The 13561-nt window shown below is 47.7% G+C and overlaps 1 protein-coding gene across 6 annotated transcripts in view, besides 1 other annotated feature; it reads left to right on the forward strand.

Moving 5' to 3' along the window:
• Positions 1 to 13561, forward strand: part of PNPLA1 (patatin like domain 1, omega-hydroxyceramide transacylase) — a 70788-nt gene that overhangs the window by 18471 nt on the left and 38756 nt on the right. For 2 of the 6 annotated variants that reach the window (NM_001374623.1, XM_047418678.1), the window contains exon 1: positions 8422 to 9026. The exons of 3 other annotated variants lie outside the window; for them this stretch is intronic. In NM_001374623.1, the coding sequence (NP_001361552.1) occupies positions 8822 to 9026 (205 nt within the window). In that variant the 5' untranslated portion in view covers positions 8422 to 8821. Of the gene's footprint in view, positions 1 to 8421; positions 9027 to 13561 lie in introns of those variants that run through there. One more of the 6 variants, NM_001145717.1, reaches the window with a different exon arrangement.
• Positions 6530 to 7116: an enhancer, noted in NCBI's record as "H3K4me1 hESC enhancer chr6:36235945-36236531 (GRCh37/hg19 assembly coordinates)". NCBI's record gives its function as "activates a minimal SCP1, AML or CMV promoter by ChIP-STARR-seq in primed H9 embryonic stem cells {active_cell/tissue: H9 hESC(primed)}" and the evidence as "EXISTENCE:reporter gene assay evidence [ECO:0000049][PMID:30033119]".

Raw genomic sequence — 13561 nt, forward strand, 5'->3', positions numbered from 1 at the left:
CGAGAAATAAAGAATAAAAACAGTTAACACTTGGTAAGCACTTGCCATGTGCCAGGAGAAAACCCTAGGAGGCAAGTTTGATTATTTTCCCATTTTCTAGATGAGAAAGCTAAGGCACAGAGATGTCAAATAATTTGTCAAAGGTGCAACTAACATAGCTGTGTCTTGAACTAAGACAGCTGGACTCCCTAAGTGGCCATACTGTACCGCCCTAAGAAAGGCGGCTGGACTTAACCCTGGCGGCACATCTTGTCTTTGCTCCATGGATGCTGATCTGATCCCTTTCTCTTCTTTTAACCAGGGTAAACTCAGGGTGCCTTTATTTCTTTTTTATTGGATGAACATTTTCCTAGGATGAGCACGGCTTTTTATCCTCTGGGGAGAATCGCCTGCCAGAGCCTTTGAGATTGGGATTCTCCTTCTCCACTGGGGAGGGGGTGCAGAGGTTCTTCCAACCCTGCAGCCAGGCAGTGCAAGGAGACTGAGAGCCTGGGGGTGACCCAGACCTCACACAGTTGGTCCTAGGGCTACAGAAGCCCAGGCTGATCCTCTGGCTCAGACCTGTCCCACCTTCAATCCACTTTCCCCTGTCCCCCACCTCGTCCCACCCTACCTCTGTCCCACAGACAACCCTCCCATCCTCCACTCTCCCACTCTGCCCTGAATCCCCAGACAACAGCAAGCCTAAATCTCATCAGCCAGACGGGGCTACGCAGCACGTGTAATGAAACCTCCTGCCCCATTTCTAATAATTCAATTTCTTCATAGCTATTGGAACAAAAGGCCCTCTTCACCTCAGAATATTCCAAATGCCAAAACAAATAGCAGCGCACAGAAAATGTGACCATCCACAGTAATTCTTCTTTGTTTACTGTAATGGAAGTAACAATGAAAACAACACAAGAGGCTAGCAGTGAAAAATGGGTTTCCCTCCACCCGCAAGCCCCAGTCCCTTCCTCAGAAGTAACCATCCTCAGCGGTTTTATTTCTGAAATGTTACATGCATATACATACAGAAGCTCTTCCTCTACCTTTTAGACATAAATGGTAGCATACTATATTGCCTGAATCCTTGTTTCTTTATCGTTATTTTTCCTTCTTACCAATATATCTTGGAGAACGTTCCCTATGAGCACACCCAGGTCCACAATTATTCTTTTCAGTAGCTGCAGAGAATTGCATTATGTGGCTATACCATCATTCATTTAACTAGCTTGCCATTGATATACTTTTAGGTTATTTCTGGATATTTGCTATTACAATTGATGCTGTATTTAAAAATTCTTTGCATATATTTTTGGAGGACTCCTATGAGTATTTCTGTAGGATAAATTCCTGCAAGTATTGATTTTTAAATAGATGGTGCCAAATTGCCCACCAAAATGCAGCTTTTCAAAGGAGACTGAATGAATAGCTTAGGCTTGATGGTCAAATCGTTTAAAATAACCAAGATTTTATTTTATATGGGAGAGCATCCTGATGCCTTTAAAACATAAACCATAAACACAAAAAAATATAAACTATAAAAGAAAAGAATGACACAATTTATTACATTAAAATTTAAATCTTTTGTATCACCGAAGACACCATTAAAATGTTGACTAAAAAACTGCACACCGGGAGAGGATATTTCCAATGCATTCAGCGGAGCCAATATTAGTACCAACGTCTACATGTTATTAACAAAAAGACAACACTCCCCCTGCCCTGCATTCCCAAATGGAAAAGGCTAAGAACAAGGTATTCAGAGAAAAGGAAACAGGAACAACCAATGAATGAAATGAAATGATGCCTAGCTTCACCAAAAAATAAGGAAAATATAAATTAAACAACAGTGAGATAGCATTTCATAGCCCTCAGACTGGCAAAACGTTTTAAATCTGGTAATAAGAGAAGTGACGTGATTAGGACTCTTATAAACACTCAATGGGAGTGGAAACTGGCACACCCACTCTAGAGAGCAATCGAGCAACTCCTTGCAGAGTTGCAGAAATGCCCATTGTATTAACCATGCTTTCTTATTTTGTGAATTTTTGATGTTCTGGCATTTGTGGCCTCACTGATGGGGGCAAGGCTGCCCCTCCCAGGGCTACCCCATTCTTAGAGATAGCAGAGGGCTGGGGTGGGTGGGGCAGCGGCGCCTCTCATATGTAAACTAGCCCATGCTCTGATCCACCCTCTCTATCTGGCTTTTACACTCCAAGAGGCAAAATCACCCAGAGCCAGGCACCAGTCAACTAGAGACCAACCCTATGACCCAGAGCCCGCCACCTTGATTTGAATCAGCCAGTCCTAAGCTGCTTCCCTGCCCCTAAGCTGCTTCCCCGCTTCCCTTCCCTTTCCCACGGAAAACACCGTAAAGGCTCTGGGCTGTGCTCTCCTTTCGTCCCTTCTGCCCCATGACCGAACCTGGAGCTTCCCCATGCAGTCCTGCATGGCAAGGAAATGTAAGTATGTGCAACAGAAATCTCTTCAATGACACTAGCCTCTCCATGTGGTAACTCAGTCACCTCCATCAACTGAAATCCTGTGGGTACCATTGATAAACCCACATTGTGACCTGAGAAATTCCTATGCAGGGCCAAGGAAGGATGTACACAAAAGGATTCACTGTGGCATTGCTGGTTACAGCAAAACACTAGAAACAACCCAAATGTCCATCAGGAAGAGAATGATACATGTTGTCCCATGGTCTCATAATGGGTCACCAGAAAGCAGGAAAATGGAAAAGACTGGAGCCAGGGATCATAACACCAAGTAAAAACAGCAATTTGCAAAATAAAGGCAATGTGTTTGTTTATGTGAAATTTTTAAAAAGATTTATAAAACGATAGTATATATTGTTTATGAAACATATTAATATACTGAAAGTATAAAAAACATGGAAGGGAAAGAGTCCCTTCAACCTGGAACACTCCCTCCCTGGTTCTCCTGGGAGGGGAAGTGAAAGGTGATATTGATTAGGAAACAGTTTGAGGAGGTTTCACCTTTACTTGTGACGTCTCATTGCTTTAAAACCAGGGAAATAGCTGAGCCAAATGTAGTAAAATGTTAAGATTTCTTCAGTCTGGCTGGTGGGTATATGAATGTTTGCTGCACTAGTTTGGGTACTTTATGCTAGAGCTCTTTCATTATAAGAAAAAAGATACTATTTAGACTGCATGAATAATCTCAAGGTCCTACAAAATAACAACAGCTCAGGAAGCCAGCAAGCTTCTCAACTGTGCCCATCTCAGCTGTGCCAAACTTTCTCCTCTCTCCTTACATTGTACCTTTAAAAATTCCTGACTTTTTGGAAACATTTAAACACTTCTACCCCCACCATGGATATGTCTACATGTTTGGTCAAGTATTCAAAAATTAAGTCACACACCTCAAAAGGCCAGTGCTACAGTGGAGGGCTGTTTAATTAGTTATCAGGACCAGGCATGGTGGCTCATGTCTGTAATCCGAGCATTTTGGGAAGCTGAGGGGGGCGGGTCACCTGAGGTCAGGAGTTTGTGACTAGCCTAGTCAACATGGTGAAACCCCATCTCTACTGAAAATACAAAAATTAGCTGGGCGTTTTGGCACATACCTGTAATCCCAGCTACTTGGGAGGCTGAGGCAGGAGAATGTCTTGAACCTGGGACGCGGTGGTTGCAATGAGCCGAGATAGTGCCATTGCACTCCATCCTGGGCAACAAAAGCGAAACTCTGTCTCAAAGAGAAAAAAGTTATCAGACCCCCACTGTATTTTTCAGGAGGGGTAGGGAAGAGAAAAAAAATCTACTTCTTGGCTTCTAACAAAAATAAGTTGGTAAACAATTTCTAAAAATATATACAAATTTTCAAATTAAGTTTTCAGAATTTTCATGAATCAGTTATTTTACCTACGATAACAAAGTATCTATACCTTAAAGTATTTCTTTTGTTTTTACTAAAAGCAAAGGGCATATTTCATTCATTCTTCTCAAAATAAGGGCTACATTTTACTAGAAATATTTAAGAGCTCTTGCACTGGCCATGAGGTTTTCAGCAGCAAATATCAAGGGAACAGTGACTAAAAACAAAGACATTGAGTTATCTGTCATCATAGGAAGCACACACACAAATGGTGTGGGGGTTGGTGCAGTCACACAAGAATCTCATCAAGGACCCAGGGTTTTTCTTGCTTTCTCTTATACGATTTTTGATGCCTTAGCCAGCCTTCAAATTTGCCCTTGATAATACCCACCCTCTGGTATTCACACTTTTCCTACATTTTACCAGGGCTGGTCTGTGTGACCAATAGAATATAGCTGAGATTACATCAGAGGTTAGGTTATAAAAAGGCTGCAGCTCCCATCTTGGGCTCACACACTCTCCTTCCCTCATTCTCTCTCTCACTCTCTTCATCTCTCACTGAAGAAAGTCAGCTGCCAAGAAAGTTGGCTCCCAATAGAGAGGCCCACTTGATGAGGCACTAAAGCTTTTGTCAACATTGACCAAGAACTGATACCCACTGGCAACCAGAAGGGTGAGTTTGGAAGTGGGTTCTTTAGCTCCAACGAGCCTTGAGATGACTGCACCCCTGGCTATCAGCCTGAATGCAACCTTGAGAGACAAGAGCGAGAACCACCTGCTAAGCCACTTGCAGTTTCCAGACCCTCAAAAATGGTGTGAGGTAATACATGCTTATTGTTTGAAAGTGCCATGTTTCAGGGTAAATCGTCATGAAGCAATGGGTAACCAATACACTCAGTGTGTCTGCCACGTTTCCCCTGATGGATGTAAAACAGTTGTCATAGATCCGCACACCATATGCTCCCAGGACAGTGTCTCTGTCAGGAAGAAAATGGGATGGGGCTACAGGGGTCTCCCTGTGTGCCTTTTACCTTTTATCAAGGAGGGAAATCTTTCCAAGAAGCAATCCAGCAGAGTCCCTGTTACTTCTCATTGTCCAGGGGGGTGGGGTCTGATGATCACCGTGAGCTCATGATTCACCCTTAGCTGAAACCAAGGACCAGGCCTTTCAGCTGCTTTACAGGGAGGTGGGCAAGGAGTAAGTGGGCCGCAGATGGCTGCTGGTAGCCAGCAACAGTCTCTGCCAGCCTCCCACAGGCTCCATTTGTCTGATTGTTTGCACCTGGCATCCTTCATGCTCCATATTTACTGTAAGCTGGAAGTTAGGCCTCAATTAGATTCAGGTGACATCGTTTTGGCAAGAATAATCACGGGTGATGTTGTGACCTTCCTACTCTACCGAATCAAGAAACCACCAGGTTCTTCACTAAATTAACATTTTCAGGAGGTAAGCAAAGGGTGATACCCCATCAGGTAAAAGCCAGTCTGGAGTCTATGTGCATCTTTCTCCCCAGTATCCATCCTGGGTGGCTTCACATATCTTAAACTTATGGGAAGTCCAGTTTCCTCTAGAAATTCATTTTGGGTTGTCTTGTTGGAAGTGTGTGATAAGCAATCTGTTTCTCCCACGTGATTTCCTCAGGGATGGATGAGTCAGACAAGCAGTGTTAACTTAGTTAAAAAACACCTGCAAAGATCATGAGATGACTAAAAATCAAATACAGAGATGCTGGAAAGTGATTCTTCCTCGATGTCATTCGCTTGAAGTTCTTAGGGCGTGAGTAGAGGGTCAGGAACCAGGGCGAATGAAAGGAACCTTCTCAAGAGTTTAGCACCCAGCAGAGGACAGGCTGAGGCCTGCTGCTCACCAGCCCTTGTCAGCTGTGGAGACCAGTCTGCCAGGCTCAGCCTTTGGGGTCCAGGTTAGCAGCTCCTCCACGGCCTTGCTGGGTATAGTCACGGATTTCTGGCTGGCGTGTTTGCATGGAGGAGGCTGTGCGTCATTGCTGTCTCCACGTCCACAGGGAACAGAAACATATGTGCATTCGTGGAAGTCAGCCGGGTCCAAGCAGGTGGGGACAACGGGGGCCATGTCAGGATGCACTGTCTCTGAAGGGGTGGTGGGTCCCCAGCCCCCCAGGTGCCTGAAGCCCATGTACAGCAGGTGGCCTTGCTTTCTATTTCACTGGGATGACCCGGAAAAAGAAACTTATCCATAGCTGTCCTCCCCTCAACATGACCCCACACCCTCCTCCGCCTGCTTACCCTTCTCTGCTGCCTCAGTGGCAGGGATCTCTGTCCTTGGTTCTGGTGCCATCCCTGCCCCCCCCATGGATAGTGCCCATGTCTTGCTGTCATCTCAGATGCATCTTAAAGTAAAATCATCCTCCACCCAGCTTCCCCAGGTCTGTTCCAGTTTCCCCAACTCTGCAGGAGGCAGCCCCACTCCTCCCTACCCCCAGGCTAAAAGTGAGGCCTCAGCCTTGACTCACCCTGCCCATCCAACCAGTCCCTGGCCCTGAGAGTCTTCTGCAGCAATAACTTCATTAACTTGTCTTCCTGCAGCTGCCACCCTGGCCTGGCCACCATCATCCTAGGAGAATGGGCCACCATCCTCCTTCCTCATTCTCCAGCCCCAGTCTCATCTTCCTTCCAAGGCTCTGCATCTTGAGACCTCTCCAAGCTCCTCCTCATGTCGCATGTGGATCAAGCCTTCCCCTTTGGACCCTGCCTTTCTATTCCACCTTATCTCTGGGGTCTATCTGTTCCAGAAGCCTTGACTCTTACTACCCTCTGATAACCACAGACGTGCCGTGTGCCAGGCGTCCTACAGCCATTACCTTTAGCCTTTACAGCTACTGTGCAGCATAGGAATGACAGTATTGTCCCTTTCACAGATGAGGAAAACTGAGGCCCAGAGAGATCATGCACAGGTCACACTGCCTGTAAATAGCAGAGTTGGGATCCAATGTCATGACTCAGAAGGGTTCTCATCCAAAGCCCTTCATCCTGTGAAACAGGTCCCATTACACCCCTTCCCTTCTCTGCAAGGGGCTCTTGCTGCTCCTCGACCAGTGCCTGCCTGCTCCTCCCAGCTGCCTCCAGTCCCGCAGCCCACACCTCCGCCGCACAGCTCCTCAGATGTTCCAGCCCACACTGCTCAGCCCCGCCTCCTAACTTTTCTGGCAGGAATCTCAGCCCTGCACAGTTTAGTACTTAATTATAGATTGCCTTGTACAGTTTTCTGCTTATTTCACATTTGCCTGTCTTGTTCCCAAGAAGCCTGCAAATATCTGATTTGGGGATGGAGCTTCTGTGTGCTCCTGTCCCCCAGGGCCCCGACACAGCACAGGGCTTGGCACACAAGCCCTCAGTGGAGCTGACCTCACCTCCCAGGAAGGGGGCAGGGTCTCTGCTGTCCAAAAGCTGACTGGACTCCACCCTGACACACCCGCCCCCACCCCAGCAGTATGCCTCAGATATCTGCACACACATGCACACATGCATACACACGCATGTACGCACACACACTTTATCTAATCTAAAGCTCTCTTTTCAACCTGAGGCAATGATATGCCTGGAATTACCTACCCAAGACAGAAAACTCCCTCCTAACTGAAGCCTGGCCTTGCCCTCACTGTGGAATTCCCATGCAGATAAGTGAGTCCACCAGAATGGTGCAAGCTCCCCAGAAGCGGGGAAGCCACTGATGTCACATCCTGGATTGGCACTTGGTGGAGGCCTTGGTGTCTTGATTCTGATTCTGGTCCTGTTGCTGTGTGGTCTTTGAGGGGAGCGGGAGACGCCATCTTGCCTTCTTTGTTATATCTCCATGAGGGGACATTTTGTGGGTGTGAGAACCACTCCTCCCCATCAGGACCACATGATACAGCCCCTCAGGGGGCAGAACCGCAGCCCCTGGAGCTAACCCTGGTCCTCTCACACCACCTCCCTTACCAAAACGTCTCTCTGCCCTGACCCCGACGTCCCCACAGGTGACCTCCCCAGCTGCTCCTCCTTGGGGTTAAACATTGCTATCTCAAACTTCTCATTTCTGAGCGGGAAGAAGAACACGCAACACGAAGCCTCACACACTTAGAATGATCTAGATTTCAGGTTGATTTCTTCCTGCACACTTAGAAGATAGCATGAGGGCTTGGGGCTTGTCGAGAGGGCACTGACCAAGGTCACAGGGTCAGTGAAGGGCCCAGGAGAAGAAACAGAGAGAGGTGCAGAGGCGGTGGTGGGTGGGGCCGCCAAAGTCACACTTCTCTTAAAATTTTACCCAGGGCCAATGCTAACATGTAAATAAACAAGTGAATAAACAAAGGGGTGTTTATGTAAGAAAAACAAATAAAAATGCTTGTGTAACACATCACACATACCACATAGCCTGAAGGAGCCCAGGAGGGGCATCTCTTTTGGGGGACCCGTCCAAAAGAGATGGGGTAGGCACCGTCCTCCTGGAGGGAGGCGGGCTTGGAAGCCCTTCACGGCCGCAGCAGCATGTTGGGGAGGGAGGTGTACACCGATAACCATCACGGAGGTTTTGCAACTGAATGTTGCAGCTGAGGGCTGGGCAGAGCCCGCCTCCTTGGGCATGGCCCTGTGCTGGGGAGCAGTGAATGCGCCCTGGTATACCATGGATGGGCAGAGGGCTGAGGATCCCGTGCCCGAGATGAATCTAGCCAAGAAATGAAGCCAGTGGGGGGCTCACAGGACCAAGACCCTGCTCACACACCGGGGGAGCCTTCTGCATCTCATTCTGGGGCCCCTTTCCAACCTTTGGAGTTGCCTCCTGGCGGAGCTTAACAGGCTGAGGCAGCTTCCTGAGCAGCCTGTGGTTGCTCCAGCCGGGTAGAGACAGCCACATTCCAAGCTCCGGGGTGGCAGGGAAGCTGGGTAGGGAGTTCCTACAGGGAGCGGCAGCCCAGGCTCGGGCAGGCAAGTGCTGAAGGGTGGCTCCGCCTTCCGCAGAAAGTCAGAGGCCGAGGAGATGGAAGAACAGGTGTTCAAGGGGGACCCGGACACCCCTCACTCCATCTCCTTCTCGGGCAGTGGATTCCTCTCCTTCTACCAGGCGGGGGCTGTGGACGCCCTGCGGGACCTGGCCCCCCGGATGCTGGAAACAGCCCACCGCTTTGCGGGGACATCGGCAGGTGCTGTGATCGCCGCCCTGGCCATCTGCGGGATTGAAATGGGTGAGGCCTGTGTTCTGGGTCCCCTGGGAAGTCTCTTGGGGGATTCCACAGAGACAGAAGGAGCGTGAGGGAGGCTGGGGATGCTTTGGGGGACAAAGCCAGGCCTGGGTGGCAGGAAGGGAAGGGAAGAGCTGGTTGGAGTAGGATAGCGGCAGCTGTGACGTTTGAAGGTTGGGGTCTGCCAGGCCCCAGACTCTAACATGCAGGGTGAGCCTGGACCCCTGTCCCTCTCCCTCAGTGCCCTTACCTGTGAGATGCTCTGTCTCCCAGTGCCTGGGAGAGTAAAGGACAGTATCTCCCTCGAACATCGAACATGGTGCTGTCAGAAGCTACACCACGGCACAGTCATACATTGGGGTTCAGTGTTGCTCCTGCCTGGCCTCTTTCAAAATGCAAATACCCTTGGGAGAGGCAACTCTTCAAATCTCTATCACCCTGATGGGGACGTATTGTCCACCATTTCCAGGTGGCTGGAAAGATGAACGCCCTGAGGCTGGAGGGGTAGACAGGAGGGAGCCCAGAGTGGGAGAAGAATAGGAAGGGGTGGGGAGAGAATACAGAAGCTCTCACTTCACCTTCTGTCCTGCTGGTCCAGGAGCCTCAGCGAGAAGAACTGCTACACTGCTAACCCAGAGAGAGAAACACTGTCCCGGACAGCAGATGCATCTAGCAGCCCCAAGGAACAAGCCCAACAGCCTAGTGAGCTACCTTGGAGGGGCATTTATTCATTTACAGAGCTCCTATTCTAGACAGAGCTCTGTTCCAGGCACTGAGGACAAGGTCCCCGCCCTTGTGGAGCAGAAATTCTAGAGAAAAGAAACAGATAATAAACATTCAAACAAGGCACCTTCTAGTGTGAGGTCGGGAAGTGATATGATCTATGAATAAAATTAAAGCAGGAAAGGGACTGAGAATGAAATGGAGACTATTTCAGGAAGGTGGTCAGGGAAGCCTTTCTGAGGAGGTGACATTCAAGCCTAGAGCTGGGTATAGTGATAGAACAAGCTACTGGGAGCTCCTGAAAAGGAGAATTCCTGGTGGAGGAGCAGCCACGAAGCCTGCGGTGTGGAAAAGGTGGTGGGAGGTCAACAGGGGCCAGGTCATGTGGCCTTAGCCACAAGCTCTCATCTCACCTAAGGGAGGGGGAGCACAGACGGCTGTGACAGCAAGTGGGGAGGGGGCAGAGGGCGTGAGCTCCTCAGGTGGGATCCCAGCTCTGCCATTTCATGATGCATGCCTGAAGTAAGTTATTGAACGTTCTGCGCCTCTGTTTCTCCGTCCACAAATGGGAGCTCCTAATAGCGCCTAGTTCCCGGCATTGTTACAGCAGCGGTCTCCAGTTGACACCAGCGACTGGTTTTGTGGAAGACAATTTTTCCACACACCAGGGTTGGTGGGGGATGGTTTCAGAATGATTCAAGCGCATTACATTTGTTGTGCACTTTACTTCTATTATCATTATGTTTTAATATATAATGAAATAATTATACAACTCACCATAAGGTAGAATCAGAGCCCTGAGCTTGTTTTCCTGCAAGTAGGCAGTCCCATCTGAGGGTGATGGGAGACAGTGACAGATCATTAGGCATTAGATTCTCATAAGGAGTGCACAACCTAGATCCCTCCCATGCACAGTTCACAATAAGGTTCACGCTCCTATAAGAATCTAGTGCTGCCACTGATCTGACAGGACGCGGAGCTCAGGCGGTAATGTGAGTGATGGGGAGCCGCTGTAAATACAGAAGAAGCTTCACCTGCTGCTTACCTCCTGCTGTGCGGCCTGGTTCCTAACAGGCCACAGACCCGGGGCCATGGCCTGGGGGTTGGGAACCCCTGGTTATAGGATTGGCTGAGCTAATATGAATACCTGCTTAGAACAATACCTGACATATGGCAAGTGTTGAGAATGTGGCAACCATCTGATTAGGCTTCTTAAGATCTCTGAACGATGGGCAGAGTGTGTTTGAGGGAGCAAGGTGGAAACTAGATAAGGGAAGAGATTGGATTCAGGACGTGCTTTGAAAGTAGAGCCAGTGAGACTTTCTGAAGGGCCGGCTGGGCTGTGTGAGGGAGAGGCTGCAGATAATAGCCCCCTCCCAGCCCAAGCAGGGTGCCTTCCTGGCTGGGGACCTCTATGCTGGGTGGAAAGTCTTTATTTTAAAGAATAATAGTAATGCCCATTCACTGAGTACCTCTAATGTATAATATAATTTTTTCTTTTTAATGTCTCACAAGTAATAAACACATTTTTCTCACTGGACAAAATTCAAACAGTGCGAAAGTGTATAGAGTAAAAGTAGAAAATAGAGGCCAGTTGCAGTGGCTCATGCCTGTAATCCCAGCACTTTGGAAGGCTGAGACAGGTGGATCAGGGGTTCAAGACCAGCCTGGCCAAATGGCGAAACCCCTTCTCTACTAAAAAAATACAAAAATTAGCCAGGCGTGGTGGTGCACACCTGTAGTCCCAGCTACTCGGGAGGCTGAGGTGGGAGATTGCTTGAACTCCAGAGGCAGAGGTTGCAGTGAGATCGCGCTACTACACTCCAGCCTGGGTAACAAAGCCAGACTCTGTCTCAAATAAATAAATAATAAATAAATAAATAAATAAATAAATAAATAAAGAGTAGAAAGAAAGCCTCCATTTGCCCGGCTGCCCCTAATCCCCCACTCCCTCCTCTAGCCAGTGTTAAGGGCTAGGCATGGATCTTTCCAGATCTTTTTAATGCACAGTCTTCCTTGAATGCAGCCATTAATGGCTCTTCCCCACTGAACTCCAGGCCTTCAGAATGGGGGTAGGGTGACAGCCCCCACTCTGTCCTGGAGTCACCGAATTCCTGCCTTGGAAACACCTGGTGCAGGGATTCTCTCTCCTTTTCCGGGCGCCTGCGTTGCTCATCTGCTCCATTACCCTCACTCTTCTGTCTTTATGTCATCTTAAAATACAGCATCTGGGTGCAGTGGCTCATGCCTGTGATCCCAGCACTTTGAGAGGCCAAGGCAGGAAGATTGTGTGTGGGTCCAGGAGTTCAAGACAAGCCTGGATAGTACAGGAAGACCCCATCGCAAAAAAAAAAAAAAAAAAAAAAAAGATGAAGAAAGAAAGAAAAGATTTTTCAGACCTAATTTAACTCATTCAGTTTGATGAATACTGCTGCAAACCTACTTGGCCGGGCTGTGACGGTCATGGACGGCAGTGGTAGGAACTAAAACCTGTAAAAAGGACATCAAGCAGTGGGGTGTAATCAAGGACTAGACTGTGGGCTGCTCGTAATTATCGCAGAAGTCCAGGGAAGGGTGAGGGAGGTATGTGTGGGACTCACGCTGTCCGCTCAGCAGCATGTTTATGAGACTTGTCAATGTCACTCCAGTCTAGTTCATTCACTCATTTTAACTGCCATACAATTTACTCTTAACTAGCACTTCCTTTTATATCAGGCACCGTTCTACCTCTGGCATATTAACTTGTTCAGTCCTCACAACAGCCCTCCCAGGTGAAAACTGTTATTATCCCCATTTTACAGAGGAGGAAAATGAGTCACAGAAAATTTAAATAACTTGCCTATAGTCACACAGATAGCACTTGGTAAAGCTAGAATTCGAACTCAGTCTGGCCAAAGTCTACATTCTTATCCTTTAAATTGCCCTGCTTAACAATGCGATGTTAAGGGGTGAGGAGGCAGGGTCGGGGAGTCTCTCTGAACAGGTGGAATTTCCACACAGACCTGACGTGGGTAAGGGAATGAGCCCAAGAATATCTTGGGAAGAACATTCTACGCAGAAGCAAAAGTCTCATCGTTAGTTAGAAGCCGAAAAGGAACCAGGGCTAGATCTTTTTAGTTAGTCATTTTATTGATGGATCTGACCAGTTTCCTTGTCGTTACAACCATCCTTGTTTGTGTCTCCCATGCTCACATGACATGTATATCATTCTAGGGTATTTGTGTCATTAACTTTGTTAATGACTTTGATAAGTTACTCTCCAAAGCAGTTGTACCAATTTAATCACAAGCAGCAGATATGAGTTCTAATTTCCCCACAATGTCACACTTGAAAATCTTATGCCAACCGAATAAATGTGAAATTGTGTCTCATCTACTGTATTTAATCTACCTATCCTGACTGCTAGTGATGTTCAGCATCCCCATGTACTTATTGACCACTAGACGTTTCCTCTTCTGTACTGTGCCTGCTCACCACCTTTCCCTGTTTTTTCCTACTGAGTTATCTTTTTCCTTTAATGTGTAGGTGTTCTTTATATATTCTGTACACTTATCTTTCACCAGTTATGCACAATGCACCTCTCTTTTCCCACTCTATTTCTTGTATTTTTATTTTGCTTCGATGTCTTTTGTTATTCAGATTTTAATTTTAATGCTGTCAAATGTATCCATCTTTTCATCTTACAACTTGGGTTTTGTTTTGTTTTGTTTTTGAGACTAGGTCTCATCCTGTCACCCACATCGGAGTGCAGTGGCACATTCATGGCTCACTGCAGCCTCGAACTCCTAGGCTCAAGTGATCCTCCTGCATCAGCC

Source organism: Homo sapiens, chromosome 6 (genome assembly GCF_000001405.40).
Source record: "Homo sapiens chromosome 6, GRCh38.p14 Primary Assembly".
NCBI classification, from domain to species: domain Eukaryota; kingdom Metazoa; phylum Chordata; class Mammalia; order Primates; family Hominidae; genus Homo; species Homo sapiens.